This window comes from Homo sapiens, chromosome 4 (assembly GCF_000001405.40).
Source record: "Homo sapiens chromosome 4, GRCh38.p14 Primary Assembly".
Lineage (NCBI taxonomy): Eukaryota > Metazoa > Chordata > Mammalia > Primates > Hominidae > Homo > Homo sapiens.
In genome coordinates, this window is record NC_000004.12 from 45,994,641 (window position 1) to 46,021,126 (window position 26,486).

Here is a 26,486-nt window from a genome sequence, read left to right on the forward strand (position 1 = left end):
ATTAATTTAATGTCTAAAATATCTTAATATCTAAGTGACAGCATGAAATACTGCCAAAGAGCATAAGCTCTGACAACAGAGATTTAGGTTAAGATTCTAACTCTGCTACTGCTAAGTATTTAATATCTCTATTCATTAGATTCCTTATATTTAAAATAAGAATAATAACAGGATACAATTAGAGAGGCTGTTATGAAGATAAAATATGTTAATATAGTTAAAGCACATGGATGAGCAATAATATGCAAAAAGTACTCAAAATGATTCTCAACGTCTAAAGTCAATATGAAGAACAAAACAAAATAAATATTTGCAATAAATATGACAATTTTTATTACATTTTTTTCTCATAAATCTATTTGAAATACTTAAAATAGATTAATGGAGAAAAGACATAAATAGTTAATTCAAAAAGGAAGAAATATATTGTTTATGGAAAAAAGTAAGGCTCATGAGTACACACAGAAATGTACAATGAGGATGTTAGGGCAATCAGGCTGCGACATCTGTCACCTCATTGATCACTAGGGTAAATATGGCTGATCTGGCTGGCTAGGCAGGTGTCCCCTTCCTCCCTCACCACTCCTTGTGCATGCCTCCCAAAGCTGCATGCTGGGTCAAAGAAGACGACCATCCTCAATAGATGAGGATGAGTCTTCAGTAAAGGGTATATGATTACTTGTGCTCCCTTGCTAGAACCTCCAAACAAGCTCTCAAGAAATGTACGATGAAAAAAAAAAAACTTTAAAAATTCTTTTACCTTTCAAAGTAGCAACTATATTAAAAATACAATAATATATTATGCAGGGAGTTTACACGGAAAAGGGCATTTTTGCCTAATGCTGGAGGGAATATAAATTTGTAATAAACATTTTTGCAATCTTTTTGGCAATATCTATCATGAGAGATAAAATGTTTATGTGACCTAAAAATAACATTTTATAATTTGTAATTTTTGCTTTTAGATTGAAAAAGCCTTAGGCAAGTGATAATGTAACATAATTTGTACAATTAAATTATTGGAATTATAGGTAAACCAAAATATATGGGACAATGGAAAGAGCATTAAACTGGAAAGGTGGAAAATAATTTTCCAGTTTTGATTTTATTTTATAGACAGATATTATGAATCCATTGTGTCTCAGATTCTGCGCTAATTGCAGAGTTTAGTTAACTAGAACATATAAAAACTCTGCCCCAGTGGAGCTCACAGTCTAGTGGACAAATATACACTAAAATATTTCCAATGCACAATTATAATTGCTAAGTGGAATTTGGGGAATATGGTGCATGGAACGAAGGCATTATAAAGGAGGTATTAGTGACATTTTAGTTCTGTCCTGCATTCTGTAAGAGTTAGATTTCCAGGGAAGGAGGTCTTCCATAAAAATCAAGAGATCAGTACTTGTCAAAGCCCAGAGGCATGCAAGAACATGGTGAGGTCAGTGGAGCTGGAGGATAGCACTTGAGAAGGAGAGATAAGAAGAGTTCAAGCTGGATAATCCTAAGTGGCCAGATCAGTCACAGTCTTGTCATGGAAAATAAGGAGTTTTTGTTGTTGTTGTTGTTGTTGTTGTTGTTGTTGTTGTTGTTGTTTCTGCAATGGGAAACCATTTGGAGATTTTACAGCATGAAGAGTACATTTTTTAATGAGTACTCATTCATCAATGTGGAGAGTTTGCTGAAAAAGACAAATCTAAAGGCAATGATACCCATTTGGTAGATGTCATAGTAAACAAGGGAAGAGATAGTGGCAGCTTCAATTCACTAGGGTTAGTTGAAGTAGACAAGTCAATCTCACTCATCCTCTTTGATCCTCACTTTGATCTTCAAGCAATTAATGATGTTGAGCTAGATGGACACAAGTAAGCTTTCTGATAGAAAATTTCACCCCTGAGTGTTTAGCTGATGTGATATAATGAAAGGGGTCATCCCATTTCTACCATGGTCATTGAGAGTAATGCAATAAAAATTTAACTTAACACAGCTATGAGGGACCAGGCTGCATGAATTTGAAAGAGAAAGATTAAAAGCAGCCACAGGAGAAAGAAAGGAAAGCAAATAAACTGAAATGTCTGCTCAGAACTGCTTTACACAGGCATACTTATGAAGATTCCTAGGGGAAAGGAACAAACTAGAACAGTGTGAAATTTTCATCAGTAAACCCCAAACCACATGAAAACTGCCTCCTTCCAGTTTCTTGCACAAATTTCATACCAATGGGATTTCATTCACATATGTGGGATGTTTTTCCCTTCACCCAGGAACCCTTCATCAAAGAAAAAAGAGGGACCTCTTGCCCTGTCTGGAGAGGGTGGCTTCTTCAAGGTTGACTTTCAGCTCTTTGCTCTGCATGTGTACAGTTTAACAAAGAAAGAAGTTGTAAGGGTAGGTGTTTGGTTCTCCTGCGTTGCCGCATGAAAATCAGAGCAAAGATTTTTAATAATATCTGAAAGAATATTCAAGTTTCTGTCTTTTTTATTGGTAATGTAGACAGAACTACCTTAGACTCCCCACTTGACCTTCTCGTTTATGTATAGCCCTCCCCCAACTCTGCCCTGCTGTATTTGTTCTTTCTCAACAAAGGCCAATATATTTTGTTTCCACCTGGTTGTCAAAATTTCTCCATTCCAATGATCCACTGGAGCTGGCCCACACCCTGCATGGACACACTTCTTTTTTTTTTTTAAGTTATACTTTAAGTTCTGGGATACATGTGCAGAATGTGCAGGTTTGTTACATAAGTATACACGTGCCATGGCGGTTTGCTGCACCCATCAACCCATCATCTACATTAGGTATTTCTCCTAATGCTATCCCTCCCATAGCCCCCCACCCCCTAACAGGCCCTGGTGTGTGATCTTCCCCTCCCTGTGTCCATTTGTTCTCACTGTTCAACTCCCACTTATGAGTGAGAACATGCAGTGTTTGGTTTTCTGTTCCTGTGTTAGTTTGCTGAAAATGATAGTTTCCAGCTTCATCCATGTCTCTGCAAAGGACATGAGCTCATCCTTTTTATGGCTGCATAGTATTCCATGGTATATATGTGCCACATTTTCTTTACACAGTTTATCATTGATGGGCATTTGTGTTGGTTCAAAGTCTTTGCTATTGTTAACAGTGCTGCAATAAACATACGTGTGCATGTGTCTTTATAGTAGAATAATTTATAATCCTTTTGGTCTATACCCAGTAATGGGATTGCTAGGTCAAATGGTATTTATGGTTTTAGATCCTTGAGGAATTGCCACACTGTCTTCCACAATGGTTGAACTAATTTACACTCCCACCAAAAGTGTAAAAGCATTTCTAGTTCTCCACATCCTCCCCAGCACCTGTTTTTTCATGACTTTTTAATGATCACCATTCTAACTGGCGTGAGATGGTATCCCATTGTGGTTTTTATTTGCATTTCTCTAATAACCAGTGATGATGAGCTTTTTTTCATCTGTTTGTTGGCTGCATAAATGTCTTCTTTTGTGAAGTGTCTGTTCATATCCTTTGGCCACTTTTTGAAGGGGTTGTTTGTTTTTTTCTTGTAAACTTGTTTAAGTTATTTGTAGACTCTGGATATTAGCCCTTTGTCAGATGGATAGACTGCAAAAATTTTCTCCCATTCTGTAGGTTGCCTGTTGACTCTGATGATCATTTCTTTTGCTGTGCAGAAGCTCTTTAGTTTAATTAGATCCCATTTGTCAATTTTGCCTTTTGTCGCCATTGTTTTTGGTGTTTTAGTCATGAAGTCTGCCCATGCCTATATCCTGAATGGAAATGGCAAGGTTTTCTTCTAGGATTTTTATGGTTTTAGGTCTTATGTTTAAGTCTTCAATCCATCCTGAGTTAATTTTTGCATAAGGTGTAAGGAAAGGGTCAATTTTCAGTTTTCTGCATATGGCTAGCCAGTTTTCCCAACACCATTTTTTAAGTAGGGAATCCTTTCCGCATTGCTTATTTTTGTCAGGTTTGTCAAAGATCAGATGGTTGTAGATGTGTGGTGTCATTTCTGAGGCCTCTGTTCTGTTCCGTTGGTCAATATATCTGTTTTGGTATCAGTACATGCTGTTTTGGTTACTGTAGGCTTGTAGTATAGTTTGAAGCCAGGTAGCGTGATGCCTCCAGCTTTGTTCTTTTTGCTTAAGACTGTCTTGGCTATATGGGCTCTTTTTTGGTTCCATATGAAATTTAAAGTAGTTTTTTTCTAATTCTGTGAAGAAAGTCAATGGTAGCTTGATCAGGATAACATTGAATCTATAAATTACTTTGGGCAGTATGGCTATTTTCACGATACTGATTCTTCCTATCCATGAGCATGCAATGTTTTTCCATTTGTTTGTGTCGTCTCTTATTTCCTTGAGCAGTGGTTTGTAGTTCTCCTTGAATAAGTCCTTCATATCTCTTGTAAGATGTATTCCTAGGTATTTTATTCTCTTTGTAGCGATTGTGAATGGGACTTCACTCAGGATTTAGTCTTCTGTTTGTCTATTATTGGTGTATAGGAATGCTTGTGATTTTTGCACACATATTTTTTTATCCTGAGACTTTACTGAAGTTGCTTATCAGCTTAAGGAGATTTTGGGCTGAGATGATGGGAGTCTCTAAATATACAATCATGTCGTCTGAAAACAGAGACAATTTTACTTCCTCTCTTCTTATTTGAATACTCTTTATTTCTTTCTCCTGACTTAGTACCCTGGCCAGAACTTTCAAAACTATGTTGAATTGGAGTGGTGAGAGGGGGCATCCTTGTCTTGTGCTGACTTTCAAAAAGAATGCTTTCAGTTTTTGCCCATTCAATATGATATTGGCTGTGGGTTTTTTCATAAATAGCTCTTATTATCTTGAGATACATTCCATTTTTTCATAAATAGCTCTTATTATCTTGAGATACATTCCATCAATACCTAGTTTATTGAGAGTTTTTAGCATGACGGGGTGTTGAATTTTACTGAAGGCCTTTTCTGCATCTATTGAGATAATCATGTTGTTTTTGTCATTGGTTCTGTTTATGTGAGGGATTATATCTATTTATTTGTATTATGCTGAACCAGTCTTGCATCCCAGGGATGAAGCTAACTTGATTGTGTTGGATAAGCTTTTTGATGTGCTGCTGGATTCAGTTCACCAGTATTTTTTTTAGGGTTTTCAAATCCATGTTCATCAGGGATATTGGCCTGAAATTTTCTTTTTTTGTTGTGTCTCTGCCAGGTTTTGGTAACAGGATGACGCTGGCCTCTTAAAATGAGTTAGGAAGGAGTCCCTCTTGTTCAATTGTTTGGAATAGTTTCAGAAGGAATGGTACCAACTGCTCTTTGTACCTCTGGTGTAATTTGGCTGTGAATCTGTCTGGTCCTGGGCTTTATTTGGTTGGTAGGCTATTAATTACTGCCTCAATTTCAAAACTTTTTATTGGTCTATTCAGGGATTCGACTTCTTCCTGGTTTAGTCTTAAGAGGGTATATGTGTCTAGGAATTCATACATTTCTTCTAGATTTTTTAGTTTATTTGGGTAGAAGTGTTTATAGTATTCTCTGATGGCACTTTGTATTTCTGTGCGATCGTTGGTGATATCCCCTTTATCATTTTTTATTGTGTCTATTTTATTCTTCTCTCTTTTCATCTTTATTAGTCTGGCTAGCGGACTATCTATTTTGTTAATCTTTTCAAAAAACCAGCTCCTGGGTTCATTGATTTTTTGAAGGATTTTTCGTGTCTCTGTCTCCTTCAGTTCTGCTCTGATCTTAGTTATTTCTTGAATTCTGCTAGCTTTTGAATTTGTTTGCTCTTGCTTCTCTTTTAATTGTGATGTTAGGGTGTTGATTTTCAATCTTTCCTGCTTTCTTCTGTGGGGATTTAGTGCTATAAATTTCTCTCTAAACATTGCTTTAACTGTGTCCCAGAGATTCTGGTACATTGTGTCTTTGTTTTCGGTAGTTTCATAGAACTTATTTATCTCTGCCTTAATTTCGTTATTTACCTAGCAGTCATTCAGGAGCAGGTTGTTCAGTTTCCATGTAGTTGTGTGGTTTTGAGTGAGTTTCTTAATCCTGAATTCTAATTTGATTGCACTGTGGTCTAAGAGAATGTTTGTTATGATTTCCATTCTTTTGCATTTGCTGAGGAGTGTTTTGACCACTTATGTGGTCAGTTTAGAATAAATGCGATGTGGTGCTGAGAAGAATGTATATTCTGTTTATTTGGGGTGGAGAGTTCTGTAGATGTCTGTTAGGTCCACTTGGTCCAGAGCTGAGTTAAAGAAGTCCTGAATATCCTTGTTAATTTTCTGTCCCGTCGATCTGTCTAATATTGACAGGTCTCTAAGGACTTGCTTTATGAATCTGGGTGCTCTTGTATTGGGTGCATTTATATTTAAGATAGTTAGCTCTTCTTATTGCATTGATCACTTTACCATTATGTAATGCCCTTCTTTGTCTTTTTTGATCTTTGTTGGTTTAAAGTCTGTTTTATCAGAGACTAGGATTGCAACTCCTGAATTTTTTTTTTTTTTTTTTTTTTTTTTTGCTTTCCATTTGCTTGGTACCATCCCTTTATTCTGAGCCTATGTGTGTCTTCGCACGTGAGATGGGTCTTGTGACTATAGCACACTAATGGGTCTTAACTTTTTATCCAATTTGCCAGTCTATATCTTTTAATTGGGGCATTTAGCCCATTTACATTTAAGGTTAATATTGTTATGTGTGAATTTGATCCTGTCATTATGATGCTGGCTGGTTATTTTGCCCATTAGTTTAGGCAGTTTCTTCATAATGTCAATGGTCTTTACAGTTAGATATGTTTTTGCAGTGGCTAGTATGGGCTTTTCCTTTCCCTATTTAGTGCTTCCTTCAGGAGCTCTTGTAAGGCAGGCCTGGTGGTGACAAAATCTCTCAGCATTTGCTTGCCTGTAAAGGACTTTGTTTAGCTGGATTAGAAATTTTGGGTTGAAAATTCTTTTCTTTAAAAATGTTGAATAGTGGCCCCCTCTCTCTTCTGGCTTGTAGGGTTCCTGAAGAGATATCTGCTGTTAGTCTGATGTGCTTCCCTTTGTGGGTAACCTGATCTTTCTCTCTGGCTGCCTTTAACATTTTTTCCTTCATTTCAGCCTTAGTGAATCTGATGATTATGTGTCTTGGGGTTGCTATTCTCATGGACTTCTTTGTGGTGTTCTCTGTTTTTCTTGAATTTGAATGTTGGCCTGTCTTGCTAGGTTGGGGAAATGCTCCTGGATAATATCCTGAAGCGTGTTTTCCAACTTGGTTCCATTCTCTCCGTCACTTTCAGGTACAATCAAACATAGGTTTGGTCTTTTCACATAGTCCCATATTTCTTGGAGGCTTTGTTTGTATCTTTTCATTCCTTTTTCTCTAATCTTGTCTTCACACTTTATTGCATTAAGTTGATCTTCAATCTCTGATATCCTTTATTCAACTTAATCAATTCGGCTATTGATACTTGTGTATGCTTCAGGAAGTTCTCATGCTATGTTTTTCAGCTCCATCAGGTCATTTATGATCTTCTCTAAACTGGTTTTTCTAGTTAGCAATTTGTCTAACCTTTTTTCAAGGTTCTTAGCTTCCTTGCATTGGGTTAGAGCATGCTCCTTTAGCTTGGAGGAGTTTGTTATCACCCACCTTCTGAAGCCTACTTCTGTCAATTTGTCAAACTCATTCTCTGTCCAGTTTTGTTCCCTTGATGGTGAGGAGTTGTGTTCCTTTGGAGAGAAGAGGTGTTCTGGTTTTTGGAATTTTCTTCTTATGCTGGTATTTCCTCATCTTCCTGGATTTATCTGCCTTTGGTCTTTGATGTTGGTGACCTTCGGATGGGGTTTTTGTGTGGACATCTTTTTGTTGATGATGATGCTACTCCTTTCTGTTTGTTAGTTTTCCTTCTAACAGTCAGGCCCCCCTGCTGAAGGTCTGCTGGAGTTTGCTGGAGGTCCACTCCAGACCCTGTTTGTTTGGGTTTCACCAGCAGAAGCTGCAGAACAGCTAAGATTGCTGCTGGTTTCTTCCTCTGGAAGGTTCATCCCAGAGGCACACCCTCCAGATGCCAGCCGGAGTTCTCCTGTATGATGTGTCTGTATGAAGTGTCTCCCAGTCAGGAAGCACAGGGGTCAGGGACCCACTTGAGAAGACAGTCTGTCCCATTTCAGAGCTCCAGCACTGTGCTGGGAGACCTGCTGCTCTCTTCAGAGCGAGCAGGCAGGAACATTTAAGTCTGCTGAAGCTTCACCCACAGCCGCCCCTTCCCCCAGGTTGTCTGTCCCAGGGAGATGGGAGTTTTATTTATAAGCCCCTGACTGGGGCTGCTGCCTTTCTTTCAGAGATGCCCTGCCCAGAGAGGAGGAATCTAGAGAGGCAGTCTGGCTACAGTGGCTTTGCTGAGCTGCGATGGGCTCTGCCCAGTTCAAACTTCCCTGTGGCCTTGTTTATACTGTGAGGGGAAAATCACCTACTCAAGCCTCAGTAATGGTGGACCCCTCTCCCCCCACCAAGCTCAAGCATCCCATGTCGACTTCAAACTGCTGTGCTGGCCATGAGGATTTCAAGCCAGTGGATCTCAGCTTGCTGCGCTCCATGGGGGTGGGATCTGCTGAGCTAGACCACTTGGCTCCCTGGTTTCATCCCTCTTTCCAGGGGAGTGAATGGTTGTTTATCAATGGCATTCCAGGTGCCACGCTTAGCTCAGTGTCTACCCAAATGGCTGCCCAGTTTTGTGCTTGAAACCCAGGGCCTGGTGGTGCAGGAAACTGAGGGAATCTTCTGGTCTACAGATTGCAAAAACTATGGGAAAAGCATAGTATCTGGGCTGGAGTGCACCACTCCTCGTGGCACAGTCCTTCAGGGCTTCCCTTGGCTAGGGAGAGACAGTTCCCTGACTCCTTGTGCTTCCCAGGTCGAGGCGAGTCCCCATCCTGCTTTGCCTCACCCTCCACGGGCCGCACCCACTATCTAACAAGTCCCAGTGACATGAGCCGGGTACCTCAGTTGGAAATGCAGAAATCACCTGCCTTCTGCATTGATCTCACTGGGAGCTGCAGACCAGAGCTGTTCCTATTCAGCCATCTTGCCAGCCATCTGCATTCCGCCCTGTTTATATTTATTGGTGTTATGATTACATAGATATAGAGATGATATGGATCGATATAGAGATATATATGAATCATAAACTTCAAAGGTCCTTTAAGAATTGAATAATCCAACAACCTCATGTTACTGCTAAAGCCACTCTGCTGGAAGTCTATGGTATTCTTTAAATCCTGTCCTTGAACTAGAACTAAAAATGCATGAAAGAAGTGTTACGTACCAATACTCACGATATTGAGTGAGGTTCCTTCCAGGACATCTGTCACCCATTACCGAGGAGGGACATCTTTTTTGCCAACATTCTGAAGCTCATATATGGAAATTCAATATTTTCATGTTTAAAATTTTCTAATTTACGTATTAGTGTTTTCCTAAATTTTAGAATATACTCTGCACCTATCTTCATAGAATTTTAGCTTATATGGTTTAATATGAAATTGTTAATGAAAATTCAGAAAATCATAAGTTTTTCCAAATATTATAGATGACACTAATCTCTATATTCCTACAATAATTTATTCTTCTTCCTCTTATGGCTGCTGTAACATTTCATTACATGCCCAATTTCCTTTTATACTATAAGCAATCTTGATGACCAGGCCCATGTATCTGGTATTCTAAACATCTAACATATATTGTATATAGCAAATAGTAAGGGCTGAGTATTTTCAGAGTGAATACGCACTTTGAAAACAAAAACTGAAAATGCAGTGCCATCTGTATTAAATAAATGCAGTACCAGATATAATACAAAGGTACATATATTTGAGAATTGTGTTAAGTTTTTGTGCTTATTGAGTGCTGAGAGAAATTTGAGATAATGGTTTATGCAGCTTTTAATGTGGTTCAAAAGTATTTATTTAAAACCAGGAGACAAACAAAACCGTAAAACAGATTAAATCACTTAAATTGTGTATCCTCTCATTTATTAAAAATATTATATAGTTTTAAGAAACATTGGCTTGGACTTATCTTTCCTATTTCACAAAATAAATAATATGTCTATCTAAAATATACAAAGGGTTTCTGTGAATTTTAATTTGTATAACACAATAGTGAGCATGGCCTTTAACAATAATTATATTATGGTCATGCACTGCATAAGGACATTTTCGCCAAGGACGACTACTTGTCCATGTTCTCATAAGATTATACTGAAGCTATATAGTGGAGTAGCCTATATCATTGAGGTTTGTGTAAGTACACTCTACAATGTTCACACAAGGATGAAATTGCATAATGATGCATTTCTCAGAAGGTGTTCCCTTGGTTAAGTGACACATGACTACTAACTTTAATTTCTACCTCTGAAACAACTCCTGATTGATGTAAGCATGAAGCAATTTTTTCGGCAACAGAGGTGTATGTATGGTGAATGCAGCTCTAGGCATATAGTAATGTTTGTCACACTGTAAGTCCAAGTGTTCATATACTGAAATCATTGCTGTTACATAATGAAAGACAAATGCTTCAGGACTAAGGAGGAAACAATTTATTTGACCCTACATTTGGTTTTAAAATGAGAGGCTCTATTGAAATGATTACTAAACCAGACACTAGGATTGCCTAATGTATATGGGACCATCATGTACATGCTATAAGCTCAAGACAGTGAAGAGCATCATTAACATATCTTGACTCAAATCTCCTTTGGATCATTCCAGAAAAACTCATCCTTGGATGCCTTTTCATTCAAGGCAGCATAAAAATTTGTGTACAGTTTGCATGTATGAAAAGTGTATGTTCCCTTTAGCTTTGCTCCTTCTGCTTAAGGGCCACATTGACAAATGTGAAAACATATCTCTACAGAAATAAGCTAGAAGAGCATTTCTCAGAATGTATTCTGTGTCATACCAGTTTGATTGGACTTCCTCTTTGCAAAAGGAGAAAAGTATTCTGTGATAAAAATAGTTTGGGAAAATTGGTTAGACATGTTCCTTTATTGTCAGACTTTTTAGCTTTCAAATGCTGTTGTGCATTTTATCTGCCTCCAGATGGGAGAAAGAGGATGCAATATTTTCTAATGACTACAAAATCTGTTGTTCAAAATGTTATGAAAATAAAGTTATTAAAAATACTTAGAAAAATTTCATTTTTTTCAATGGAAGTGAAAGCAATAATCTATTAATTGAGAAAACTGAGATGAGTTCAAAAGTTAAAGTCTTTACAGAAAAAAAATTTCAAATGAGAAAAATAATTTTAGGCTGATATATTTAATGCCAGTTCAATACAATACGTTATTTTTCTCTATTCTGTATTTAACTTTTCTCCCAAAATTGGAACCCTGACTCCCAATATCACTGTATTTACTCATTTGCTCAGTCTTACAATACACACACACGGTATAATTTCTACTTCTGCACCGTAAAAGGATATGGAAACAAAGAAACTCCGGTGACAATAAGCACACCTTGCCACTATAACTTGGTTTCTAAATGCTGTTCCCCATTAAAAGTAAAACCTAAGTACTTGGATAAATGATGTATTCCAGGACAAGTATGAAATAATTCTGGAATATCTTATTGTGCCAGAAACTATTACAATCAATCAAAAAGGAAGATTAAAGTTCAAATACACAAGAACAAGTTTGACAAATCTCCCACTGAGAAAACCTGGGAAGGTAAGTCTTCATAATAAATAAAGTTATGAATTATAACACACGAAACATAAACACATTTATATTTCACTTGTTGTGATGGCTAACTTTATTGGTAAACTTTACTGGCCACAGGGTGCCCGGACATTTATTTGGTCAAACACTATTTTTTATTATTATTATTTTTTTATTATACTCTAAGTTCTGGGGTACATGTAAACAACGTGCAGGTTTGTTACATAAATATACATGTCGGTTTGCTGCACCCATTGACTCGTCATTTACATTAGGTATTTCTTCTAATGCTATCCCTCCCCCAGTCTCCCATCCCCCAACAGGCCCCGGTGTGTGTTGTTCCCCTCCCTGTGTCCATGTGTTTTCATTGTTCAGCTCCCACTTATGAGTGAGAACATGCGGTTTTCTGTCCTATTTTTGTATGTGTGTGAGAACGTTTCTGGACGAGATGAACATTTAAATCAGTATACTAAATAAAGTAGCTTGTCCTCTGTAATATGAGCGGGTTTCATGCAATCAATTGCAAACCCCAAGAGGACAGAAAGATTGCCCCCTCCCCCAAGGAGTAAGAGGGAACTCCTGCCTGACTTCTTGAGCTGAATTTTTATTTATTTATTTATTTATTTCCTGTCTTCAGCCTCAAACTGAAACATCAGTTCTTGAGTCTTGAGCCTGCCAGCTTTCAGACTGGAACACACTGCCTTGGCTTTTCTGTTTCTCAGGCCTTAGAATGCTGGAAAATACACGTTGGTAGTAAAAACCAAGCATACAAATTCAGAAATAAAGAAAAGCTTTTCCATACAGTAGAATATCAATTAATAAATGTAAAAATTACAATTTCTACAATTGTAGAAAAATTACCATTCTACATATTTCATAATAAGAATAAATTCAGGCAAGAATGATCTTTTATAGAGCATTTTTTCTACATTACTTATAACTTAATTCTTTGTAAGTAAAATTATGAACAATAATTTATTATGCAGCCCACTCAAATATAAAATAATATGTTTTTGTAGAAAAGTTTTATTACAGTCTGGATGCAATGCTGGTGGTTTTATTCCCCCGCTCCAAATATTCTAAATGTAAGGATGTGACTTCAAATTTCTAGTAACATTTTGCCCAGTTATTTAAATTGTGTAGCTTATTCTCCACTGCTATCTCTAATCTTTGGAGTCATTAACTATTGTCTTAATGAATTCTGAGTGCCATATGTTCTATTCCAATTTTCTTTTTTTTGGTATCATTTTAGCAAACCGCAGAGAATATCCAAGTATAAAATTGACTATTTTACCTATACCCCATGTTTTTTTCTCTGTTATAGTTGTTTAGTTTAAACATTTTATTGTTAATGATCTGATGAACTGTACTTTTATATTCATTTTAATTATTTAAAAACAGTTGGCGATATTTGATAAGTTGTTGAAAAGAAATTAGGAAACCTATAAGAAGTAATAGGAATCTTATAAGAAAAGTTTCTAATAGCAGTTTTATGAATTCATTGATTTTTTCCATGTTGACCATGTCTCTATAAGATTGACTAGAAGGATAATGTAACTTTTACATTCTAAGATATTTTATAACATTTAGCTGACTGTGTCCTCATAACACCTAATAACATTGTAAGTTTCAATAATTAAGGGCCCTTTTTTCATTTTTTTATATCTCTTTTTTCTCTTAGCCTCTATGAAGGTAGTGTAAGACCACTAGATAATTTTGACTTGAGACTTAAAACTAAACATTAGTTATAGAAATATAAATTTATCTGGTAATTTTTGGAATATGATATATACAGAATGATATGATTCGAAACTTAATTGAGTCAGTTTCCTGTCATAATGAACATATGTCTTATCACTACTTAAAAACCTAATTTGAGATACCTTTTGATGCTGCTGACATCAGGTGACAAGTTCAAAAAAGTAAAGAAAGAAACTGGACTACTTTCAGAATAGATGAATCTGATCACATGTTTTATTAAAATGGTTAGCTAATCCCTTGATTTACCAAATTCCTTTGCTTCTCTGAAATAGGAAAGTCAGATATCAAGGCATTTGAAAATGAATTCTCTAGAACCAGAACATATGTTATTAAAAACATCTACCTAGACAACTTCATTTTCTCATAAATAATAAGGTATAATTGTCCGAACTCATTATTGCTTTAAAGAAACCCTACATAGAAGAAGAATAGAAGAAACTGATTAGTAAAGAAAGTATAAATATTTTCCGTTATCAGACTGTCTATATTTGAAGTCAACGGGATACAAATATAGTCTTTCTTTAAAAATAGTGTAAATAATTCTGTTCCTCATGATTTAATAATCATAACAAATGTTTTATGAGTTTATGTCCTTGTAATATGAATATTTCCATCTAACAAAAGAGATGGAAGAAAATTATGCCAGTTAGCTTGATAAGATATTGCAAGAACAAATTTGCTTTATTCTAAAAAGGCCCAAAGAAGTCTTTTACAAGGAAGAAATATAAATGATAATATCAAACTTCACTAAGGTGGAATTAGGATATGTTATCTGAATTGCTGAAAAATCAGAATCACTGGAAAATCACTTAAAGATAATCAGCTGTTGACCAGGTGCTGTTGCTCTTGCTTGTAATCCCAGCACTTTGGGAGGCTGAGGTGGGAGGATCACTTGAGGTCAGAAGTTCAAGTCCAGGCTAGCCAACGTGGTGAAATCCTATCTGTACTAAAAATGTCAAAAATTATCTGGACAAGGTGGCACATGACTGTAAGTGGCACATGCCTCTCAAGGCTGAGGCACGAGAATCACTTCAACCCAAGAGGCAGAGGTTGCGGTGAGCCAAAATCATGCCACCGCACTTCAGCCTGGGTGACAGAGAAAGACCCTGTCTCAAAAAAAAAAAAAAAAAAAAAAAAAAAAAGATCAAGATAAAGATAATCAGCTCTTATTACAAAACATAAAGTATGAAGTAATTTTAAATAGTGCTGCCATATAGGTATATGTTAGCATGTCCAAATAAACATCTGGCCTACTTAATTGACTAAACAATTATGATTAAATTAGGCAAATCAAGTTCCTGAAAAAGGTAAATAGTTAAATTTGCTTAAATTTAATTTTGCATATGGAATGACTAACCTAGAATTTGACACAGAAAAAAAACAAAATGAACATTTTCTATAAATTTAAGTGTCTGAATGAATAAGAGTATTTGAGGAGCTTGTTCCTCTTGAATGCAGTATTTCACAAATCAGTTTTTATCCTTATGATAATTTTAGTTTTATATAAAGGTAAACTTTTGTTTCATATATTGACTTGGTAAGAAAATTACTGAGAAGTTTATCTTAGTGAAAATAAAAACTGGAAAAACGTACATTCAAAATAATTTAACACCACTCCTTATATTTAACACTATAGCTTTACATATTAAAATTTTATATAAAAACATTTGCAGTAACACTGTAACAGAAAATGTAGAAAAAGAATCTGTGGCCACTCATTTGATTCATTCAAAATTGTCACCAAAAACCCCAGAGAAAAGTCTATGAAGGTAGCAACTATCAACTGGAGTGGAAAGGGAGGAAAGAGGTTGCTATTTTATTCAGGAGACTTTATTTGTAAGACTTCCTTGATAAAGTGATATTTGAACAGAGACCTGAAGACATTGGGGAGGCTAGTCATAAAGATATCATAAGGAAGCATTTTTAAGGCAGAGAGAACAGCAAGTACTAAGCCTGGCCTGGAGTGGTGTGGCGCATTTGAGCAAATTGCAAGGAAGCTAGTGGCACCAGAGTAAGATGAGTAAGGAGAAAAGTGAAAATAGATTAAGTCTAGAGGGTAGTAAGAGTTTATTTCAAGTAAATTTGCAGGCCATTTTAAGCATTTTGGATTTGTACCTAAAAGGGATAGGAAGCCAATATAGTAGTCCCCTCCTATCCACAGAGGACACATTCCAAGATCCCCAGTCAATACCTGAAACCACAGGTAGTACTGAACTTTTATTTATGTATATACTCTACATATTTTTTTTTCTTCTACACAGTTTTATGGATAGATTTGTTTTTACCATATATCTTAGCACCCACAGCGTGCAATTTTTTTTTTTTCTTTTCTTATTGAGATCTTTCCTCTTTTTACTTACAGGAAGTGCTTTGGCATATCCAAATTACCAGCATCACTAATGTTGTGCTTTGGGGCCATTATTGAGTAAAACAGTAAATTAAAGATTATTTGAACACAGCACTGCTATACCATGAGAGTGGCTCTGGCAGCTCATATGGTTACTAAGTGACCAACAGATGGGTAGCATATACAATGTGGATACTTGGGACAAAGGGTTGATTCCTGTCCTGGGTGGAATGGACTGCGATGGTACAACATTTCATCATACTACTCAGAAAGGCACATGATTTAAAGTTTATGTGTGATTTATTTCTGAAATATTCCATTTAATACTTTGAGACCATGGTTGACAGTGGGTAACTGAAACCACTGAGGGCAAAACCTTGAATAAGGGGAGTGGGAATGCTACTGTAAAATGTTTCAAGGAGACAATTAAAATTAGCTGATTTGCATGCATTTCAAAAGGCCACTCTCGTGGTGGTATGGAGAATAGAGGAGGCAAATTAAAGTATATCAATCCAGATGTGTTGCCATCAAGTTTGGATGTGCTAAAAAGTTGCCATAATCTTCATATTTTTAGGTAGAGCCAACAAGATTTGCTGATTTATTGAATGAGAAGTGTGAATTAAAAGTAGGAGTCGGGGACAACTGCAGGTTGTTTAACATGAACAACTAAATTGAAGGATGAAGTTATTTTTCATTAAGATGAGGAAGACTAAAGGAGGTGCATGTCTGAGGAGATGGAAATCTAGAGTTTGAGGAAGGCTTATGATGCCTATTAGACAACTAAGTAAATATGTTAAGTTGGCAGCTGGATGTAGAGCTCATGGAAAATATATGAATTTGGGAGTCTTTACCATTTAGATACCATTTACTAGATAAAACTACCAAGAAAGAGAGTGAATTATAGAGAAACTAGTCCAAGGACTGAGATCTAAGTATAAATTCCTATACTCTAAAAATGTAATACAGGATTAAATTCCTTCATCAGATCTATCAATTCCCATATTTGCAATGCTTGAAAGTAAAGCTATATCTTTGAAAGTCGAGTAAAAGAATAGTTGCTTGCTTGCATTTCCTATGAACTGCTATTCATTTTATTTTTTAGAATTAGAAAGAAATGGAATACATTTTGGCTCCACAGAAAGAGAATAGCATGTATGAGGAGTCTGGATACTGCTTAAAAAGCTATATGCTATTTCTCAGGCCTGGCCATACACAATTACAAAGACTTTACCTGGGAGGACTCACAGGGGAAAGCTGTCCACCTCACGCCAGAATTGGGGCACAGCCAGTGCCTTGCAGCCTCTGAGGGAAGGGGAGTTGATGTCAAGGACTCAGGCCCCTTTGGCTGGTCACACTCTTTCTCATATTTGTGGTCCTAGTCTCAGAGCCTTTAATCTCAGGCTTCCCTATCTGAGGCCTTCTCAGAGGTCTTCTTCAAGTGCCTCTGCATAGGCCTCATTTTGGGGAGGAGGGGGAACACAAATGAAGGCACATTTTCTCACCCTTATTCAGACCCTGGACTTGTCCATTCCTATCCCTCAACTCCCATACTTCTTCCTCAGCCCCAGGGTCCATACAACTTTTAGAGCTTTGTATTCTTGGCTCCCTCAAAAGCCAGATGACCCCCACATCTTGGCTGATTCCTTAGTGTGCCATTTCATGGTGGTGGGTAGGAAATGGAATGAGCAGGGAGGGAGAGTTGATGTGTTTTTCTTGTTTAAGATGCTTGCATATACCATTGCAATAAGTGATTAAAGGCTTAACTCTCATTTTTGGCTTGTTGCTTTAATTAGCTACTCCAACACCTGGCAGCTCAGCTATTTCTCCCAGCTAAGCTCCTGATAGTGTAAATTATCATTTTACATATTTTATCAGAACAAATTCAATATTTTTCTTTTTTACCAACCCTGTGTAACTTTAATTTATATTGCGGTCTTGTCCTGCATTTGACCTGGATTATGATTTTCTTAACATTTTTCTAGCTCAGGTAGTTGTTCTAAAAATTCTATAAGCACTTCTTGTAGACAAGTGCTCTTCTGCCCATTTGTTAATACAGTCATATTCCCACTAACGCTGTGGTCAGAAATTAATGAATTAATAAATAAACAAATCTTATTTTATTTATTATTTTTTCTACTGTTAATTCTTCTGGCAAGATTACTAAATAGTTATAGCCCAAATGAATGAATGATAAGCCACAAACTAGGTGCTGTTGTTTGAATGTGTCGCCCAAAAGGCATGTGTTGGAAACTGAATTCCCAAACTCATGTTGAATTTTAATTGCTATTTTAACAGTGTTAAGAGGTGGGACATTTAAGAGGTGATTAGGCCATGAGGGATCTGTCCTCATGAATGCTCTTATTGCATAATGCTCTTATTGCAATAAGAGATTCCTTATAAAAGGTGAAGTTTGAAGTTTGGTCCCCTTTTCTTTCTCTCTCTCTCCCCTCTCTTTGTTTTTATGGGTGATGCAGGAAGAAGGACCTTGCCAGATGCTGCCCACTCATTCTTGAACTTCAGAATCTCCAGAACTGTGAGCCAATAAATTTCTAGTCATTATAATTACCCAGCCTGGGTATTTATCCCAGTGGTATTTTGTTACAGTAGCATAAAACAAACTAAGACACCTAGTGTTTGTGTTATGCCATTCTTGCATTGCTATAAAGAACTACCCAAGAGTGCACCATTTATAAAGAAAAGAGGTTTAATTGCTGCATAGTTTGGAAGGCTGTATAGGAAACATAATGCCAGCATCTGCTTGACTTCTGGGGCAGCCTCAGGAATCTTACAAGCATGGTGGAAGGTGAAGCAGGAGCAAGCATGTCACATGACAAAAGCAAGAACAAGAGCAGGGGAAGGTGCCACACTTTACAACAAGTAGATTTTGTGATAATTCACTCACTATTGCAAGGGCAGAATCAAGGGGATATTGCTAAACCATTCATGAGAAATCCACCACCGTGATCCAATCACCTCCCACCAGGCCCCACCTCCAATACCTGAGATTACACTTCAGCATGAAAATTGGGCAGGGACAAATATCCAAACTATATCAGTGTTATAACTACAAATTACTCAAATATAACAGCAATTAATCATTTTTTTCAAATATTTTTACAGCTTCTTCAGTACTAAAATTGGTAAACAAAGGTTAATCTACATTAAAATCTATTTATTAACATATAGTGTGTTCTAAGCTTTTCTTAAGATAAAATACTGAAATTTACTCAAGGACAATTTTGATTTTAATCTAAATACATAGAAAAATATTATTTATACACTTATTAAAAATAAAGTGTGTCTATTAAATTAGCTTTTATATAGCAGCTTATATTGAATAAGAATTTTAAGATTACTCAAATATTATTCTATTATTTATTATTATTATTATTTTGGACAGAGTCTTATTCTGGTATCCAGGCTGGAATGCACTGGCAAGATCCCAGCTCACTGCAACCTCTGCTTCCTGGATTCAAGTGATTCTCTTGCCTCAGCCTCCTAAGTAGCTGGGATTACAGGTGCATGCCACCACGTCTGGCTAATTTTTGTGTTTTTAGCAGAGACAGGGTTTTACCATGTTGGCCACGCTGGTTTTGAACTCCTGACCTCAGGTGATCCACCCATCTCGGACTCCCATCAAATATTATTCTTAATTATATTTTTAATATTATCATTAGGAGTCAAAGGACCAAAATATCTTAAACATAACAATTAAAGTTCACTGAAATTTATGTAAAGGAAATTAAATGGGAATAGTTTTCAAAATCTGGTTCTATTTTCTACTCTGCAACTTGCAAGCTGGTTATTTTTATTAATGTCACTAAACCACTGAGTCCCAAATCCTTCATCTCTAAAGTTAACTTAATTGCCACATTATTATGGGAATCAATTAGCATGTATAGTTTTAAATGACTTACATATGGTGCTGTGTGACTAAATCTTGCAATATTAGTTTTACTACAGTGTTACATTTGTTAACTTATTGGTGGAATATATTGGGTTTACCGTGTGCCTAGAGGCAGACTATGCTTAGGGAAGTTTGACGCCTCTCCTCCCATCTTTCAGTGCTTTCAGTGTCTTTGCCCCTTTATTTCCTGGCTATCTACCAGACTCACTGGCCTCAGATATTTCTTTATTCAAAGGTCTTTTTTTTTTTCTTGTGGACCCAGGCACTTCTCTTATACCAGAAATCTTCTCTCTCTCCTCACATACTACAGGGCTAGATATCTGAGCTGGCCAAAGGGAGAGTTCACTAATCAAACAGGAATGGTGTTGTGGCAGAGTGAACTCTGGAATTAGATTTAAAAAGTCAAATCTTTGGCCCTACTTTACTATTTCTTTGAATTTCAAACAATAATTAGTTCTTATTTCATTACCTGTGCAATGGGGCTAGTGATACCTTTGGCCTATCTCTTAACATTGTGAAGATTATAATAAAATAAGATCCCTAATATACCTTGTAAACAGTAAGACACACACAAAGTAAGTAGTTATTGTTCAGTTGAACTTATTTATTTTAGCAGAAGGAAGCCATGAAGCAGCCCTAGAAAGCTCCCATCATTATAAAGAGGTATATGAGTGCTTAACAGAGGCCTTCCAAAGACAAGATCTCTCCTCTGTTACTAAATCTAAGGAATAACATAGAAAACAGCCTGCTGAAAAAGATAAATTTAGTTGGAGAAAGGATATATTCATAGCATTTATTGAAAAACTTGATATAGTCTGGGTTCGGTGTCTCATGCCTGTAATCCCAGCATGTTTGGAAGTCCAGGTGGGGGAATATTTTTGCATGTAAAAGATAATCTTGAAAATCTTAAACCTCGGAGTTTGAGACTAACCTGGACAACACAGTGACACTTCACCTCTTAAAAAATAGAGAGAAAGAGAGAGAGAGAGAGAGAGAAACTGGTTATCTCCAACTTTTATTTTAAAAGCTATGCAAGGTATCGATGGCAATAGTGGTCATTAATTTAGTTTACAACATATTTCCAGTTCTTGAGAGTTCATTTTTCCACAGTTGGTATAGTGACAAGCAACATTTAACTGGTTGCTACTCTGCCAGAATATCCTAAGTAGCGACAATGAACAGGGTTCATGGGCAATGGAAGTGAGAAATAAACAGTTCTTCCTCAAATTTTGGGGTTGTTTGTTGGCACTGCATAGCCTGGTCTATGCTTAATAGCACAATGTCATTTTACAAATGAAAATAGTGAGTATCAGATCAAGTATATTACTCATTAAAGTCTATGCAGCTTTTATGTAATAGACGTTGGCTGCAAACCTAGATACATTTAATTCTAAAGACTAATCTTTATTTGCTGTGATGCTAGTCTCACAGTGTGATTGAAGCTTGGAGGCCAACCTCAATTGATCTCTGATGGCTGATTTGATGCCCCTCCTCAGAAGAGATCTTAGAGAGAATGCTGGACAAGGGTAAGAACATTGCCCAGAAAAGCCTTATGAGGGACAAGCTAGGATAAGAAAAAGGAAAAACAGACTTGAAGATAAAGTAACTATTTATTCTGTGAAATGAAACTAATAAACAGTAGCCAGTTGACTTCCATTTTTGTAAGATCCAAATTCATTAATTTATGCAGTAGTAAGGACTACCATGTTCCAGAAACTCTTCTGTGGAAAACAATGGTAAGTAACTTACATAATGACAGGTAACTCACATGAATGAACAAAAGTTCTTGCCCTTGGGAAACCTGTTTTGATAGGATTCAGAATTGATTCAATGTATATGGGAAAGCTTTATATATTTTAAAATAGAATTATTGCATAGCATAGGTAATACTTTAAAGATAAAGGGATTGTTTTCCATGAAATATTTCTAAGAAAAGATGTTCATAACACGAATATTTGGGGAACAAAGAAAACAATAAGAAAACACATTAGATAACACTAATTTAATGTGTACCATAAATTCTTAAAGCCTTGCTATGAGATAAGTACTAGTACTTGACAGATTTCTAGCTGGAAAATGTATTTTAACAGAAAAAAAAGAAAAAAACACTCTGTATGGTAACATTTTAAGGCAGAAACTTGGTGGGTGCCTCTGTCCAAGGTGCTGAAATGTATTTTGTTTTTGACTAATTTGAACAATTCATATCATTAATTTTTCTCACTATGCAATTTAAATATTTTCTGTGATGTATTATTTAGGAGAGTAAGACTTTATGAATGATTTTTCTGATGATAGCATTGTTTATCAAGAGCATTTAATGAATGATATGCCACAATAGGTTTTTTCTTGCTGTGAATGTCTAGAAACAACATTTATTATAAAATGAATAATGTTTTTACCTTTTAGCCCCCCATAGTTTACACCTGAATATACTAAGTAATATTTAAAATGCAAAAGTTTTATTTTTAAGATATTTATTAACAATTGTTTCATGTGATGTATATTTCTGTTGTAGAATCTTATTTAATATGATTACTACTTTGGCAGGTGCTTCTTCAGCTCTGATTCCTCTTCCACATTTTCTATTGCGTTTGGGAAACCTCTATATAGATATATCAGGACTCCAAAAATTAAAATAAACTCAACAAATCTCATCATGTTATCTCCAAAATTTGCCCCCGTTGGTCTCAAACTCCTGGGTTTAAGATTTGCAAGATCATCTCTTACATGCAAAAACAGTCTCTCACTTCAACCTCAAAAAGTGCTGGGATTATAGGCATAGGCCACTGAACCCATCTTATGTCACAGGTTTTCAATAAATGGTAACTATATCCTTTCTCCAACTAAAGTTATCTTCTTCCGCAGCCTGTTTTCTATGCTGTAAACATTTTCCAGGTAACTCAAAGACTAGAGAGAATAATAAAAGAAGGAGGAATTGGTTTCAGCCATGAGCAATTAAGGGCTTCATCTTGCCATAATCTTCTGATAAGTGTATAGGATACCTCCCATAATTTTCCACTTGAGGGATACCACAGAAAGAACCATTGATTCATAACTTCCCTTTCCTCATTGATTGAGAGTTTATTCAGACATTTTTAACTACCACCACTTCCAGGTAGCAACTTTGTGCATGATAATCAGGCTGCCATCTGACTGTTTCTCTCACCATTATACCAGAGCAGAAAGCAAATGATGGAAGTTACAGCATTGAGTTTAGGAACTGTCATCTTGAAGGGATTCCAAATCTGCACATAAGTATTTCTTGACTCTAGGACTAGACTGAGTGGCCTCAAGTATATGAAGTTAGCCTCAAGAGACATTGATCCACCAGATAAACTGTTAAAGAAGCAGAATATTTAAAGTTCCAGACTTGGAAAGAACTGGGAACATTTAAAGGAGTTAAAGAAAGCCAGTGGACCTGGAGACCAGCAGAGGGAGAGAAAGGTGGAATATCAGGAGAAACGTAAAGGATAATTATGTGACATAGTTTTGTATTCTGTTATCAATCAAATCAGATTTAAGTCTTTGAAATGTGCTACACAGGGGATGGGTTTTTTCCTGAACCATGATCTTGTATTTTCAGTACCCATTGCTGAATGTATAATTTTCTGTGTGTTTCCCAATTTAGAGTCTTGAAAGTGAGGATTAGACTGCCAAGATTATATTTTACATCCAAAAATATCATTTTGGATTATAGGATATTCAGAAGAATAGCTGCCCTTGGATCAGGAAGTCATTTCTGATTTGCAATCAGCTGTATTTAAAGAATTTCAAGGGACAGCAGGTGCCATGATTGACATCTCTAATGTACATGGTGTAGGGAGTTTCTGAATTATATTAACCCAGTAGATAATAGGGAAATATGTTCTAAGACATTCTTATTCAGTCTGCTTTGAAATGCAGAGAAGCATTTGCTTTTACTGATAAACTATCAGTGGCATCTACATGATCTATAGACAAAAAAGGGACTTGAGTGTTCTATCATTGAATGTGAGGAAACAGAAAAAAACCCAAAGCACTGGAAGTTAAAAACTAAGTAATAAGATATATTATTTGCTAAATCTTTAGTTCAGAAATCGTGCTGAATTTTATATGTGAAAACCATACTAATGTACAACTCAGATCTCCTGCCATGGAAAGCATAGTTGACCTGTAACCCACACTGCTTCCCCTCTGAATCTACTACAGTGCTTGTACTGAGGATACTTTTCTTTCAAGTTGTACCCAGTCAGTGAATGAGCATGATGAGCATCACAATTCTGAGACACTTCTAGGAGACCCAGTATTTCTCTCACAGGTGAATTGGCTTGAGGACTCCTAATTGGCCTGACCAAACGTTTCTTAGAGCTGTGCTGCAGTCACAGAATCCTCCTACCCAATTCTTTCTTCATTTCCATCACAGGTGTTAGACATGCATCACAGTCTGAGGCTCTTCCTGTCTTCTCTGGCTGTTTCTTTCATCCTTCTCTGGCATTCCTCCTAATGAATCTCTCACATATCTCTTTGCATGTTGGATTCATCTTCTTGAAGAAACCAACTATCACAAGATACATATTTCCCTGTACTTCACTGCTACATATGCACCAAGAAAGGAAGTAATTCTTTTATAGGATGAGCTTCTAGTATTTACTTCAAAGAGGACACATAAGAAGGATAAATAAAACATATATATTGTTTGGAAACCAGTAATATAAATAAAAATATATTGATTCTCTGGTGAGATGAGATCATCTAGTTATTCTCAATAACATCAACTGTATTTTGAATGCTTTGGTAGTTCTTAGTTTTGAAAGTTGAATCTTAAGAGTCCAAGTGTTTCTACTCTTATTCTTAGGGCTGGAAGATGTCACCCTTTGTCTGAAAAAAGTTACTGAAAAAGTAATGAATAGCAGATGGTATTGGAAGGACTTTTGATTCAGATTTTCAAAAAGAGATTCAAAATACTTGGACTGTATCCAAATGAGAGGGAACTGGGAAATGAGAACTGTAATCATAGATTTAATGTGATTGAATAGAGTAGATGGAAGGTGTTTTGTTTGGCTCTAACTAAACATTTTTTCGTGGTTTTTATAAAAATACTAAGTGTAATATATATAAAATGAATACTATTAGAAGCAGAGTTCAGAGTTTCATAAACCAAAGAAACAAAACAAAAAGCATTTTATAACTTGAAACTAGTTAAGCTACCCTTGTGTAAATGTCCATTGAAATTCAATGTTGAACATTCAGTGTAGATGTTTTATAGTTATTTGTAAGCATTGAAAGTTAGAAGTATAATAGAATAATCCAGGGAGGCAAAGGAAAGAAGCCAAGTCCAAAGTTTTCACATGTTTCTTTGATTTTGGTGGCTTCTGACCACTAAAATCACTGCCAAAGAAATCATCATTATATTTCAACAAATTTGAATAGGAACAAAAACAGTAACCAGAATCCTCAGGTACTTTGTGATTATCACAAACATGTTAATTATTTCAATTGTTCAATTTATTAGAAAATTTGAAGCTTGTTAAAATTGCTCTTGATTTTTATGACTGTTTAAAGCATTAGTTCATTAATAGCTGTTCTCATTAATGCTGAAGGAAATTTGGCTTCAATATATTACTTTGTTAATGTATTTTGAGATAATAGGATGTTTATGGTATTTCACTAATTTGGAAATAAAATATTATTCTAAAACGATTTCACTTAGAAAACTCTTCCATTATTTTTATTACATCTCAAATACACAGCCACAGTTCCTAATGTTTCTGTAAATTGCTTCTTGTTGTTTTTGTTTTGTTTTGTTTTTATGGAAGTAACCACACATTTCTCTTATTGTTCTCCATATCATAGCATAAAAGAAGGATGTTTACACACATGCAATAACTCACACATGTGCATACATACACACTATTTAATTTGAGGTTAATATAAAATTAAATAATATGTGATTTGGAGCAAAGACCATGGATATTGGTTTTGCCACCAGCCTCATCTAAATTCAAATCTCACTCTACCATTTACCAGCAATATGACCTGAAACACACAACTCTAGTATTAAGACCTTCAGTAGTACTGGAATTAAATGAAATCGTGTATCGAGCATTGCCATTATTTAATCCCATGTTGACAACGAGTTTTCTCTTTGACCTGGTTATATTTCTTACCTTTGCCCTCATCTCCAGCAAGGAATTTTTCAAATAATAGAATTCAGTAAAAACAGTTCAAATGCTTTTCCAGCTGGCTGTGAAAAACATATACTGCATGAAACTTTCTTGTGGGAAAGAAAATTAGAGAGAAAGACGTATACACTTAGATATTCAACTTGGAATTAAGTTTTATAAATTGCAAAAAATAATATTTATTGAAAACCTTTAGTATATGTTTCCTCAATATATTACTTGATTTAAAATGTCTTCAATAATGGTAAATTTGCCAGAAAGAAATAATTAATAAATTGCTCTTTTTGAACTCTTTTCCATGAAATGTTAGAAATATATTCGTATATGAGCACATTTATTACCATAATATTTTTTCTAAGTCTTGAGCTAACAATATTATTTTAAATTGCCACTGTACAAGATGTCATACTAAATATTCAGCCTGCAGAAATGAATATCTAGCATCAGGAAAATGCTCTCTGTAGCTACATCTTCGTGATTTCTGTGAGGAATTGCTGATCACACACTTGGACTGCCATTTCAGAAGATCATGGTAATATGTACCCCGTAATATTCTCTGTCAGCCATGGAAGTATGTTTGCTGAATTTTATTTGTTTGCTGAATTTCATTATTCTT

The 26,486-nt window shown here is 35.9% G+C and overlaps 1 pseudogene, besides 1 other annotated feature; it reads left to right on the plus strand.

Annotated features, from left to right (window-relative positions):
- On the plus strand, positions 479–728 carry RN7SKP199 (RN7SK pseudogene 199; annotated as a pseudogene).
- Positions 21,759–21,959: a silencer, noted in NCBI's record as "peak5030 fragment used in MPRA reporter construct". NCBI's record gives its function as "represses an SCP1 promoter by STARR-seq MPRAs in K562 erythroleukemia cells {active_cell/tissue: K562}" and the evidence as "EXISTENCE:reporter gene assay evidence [ECO:0000049][PMID:32103011]".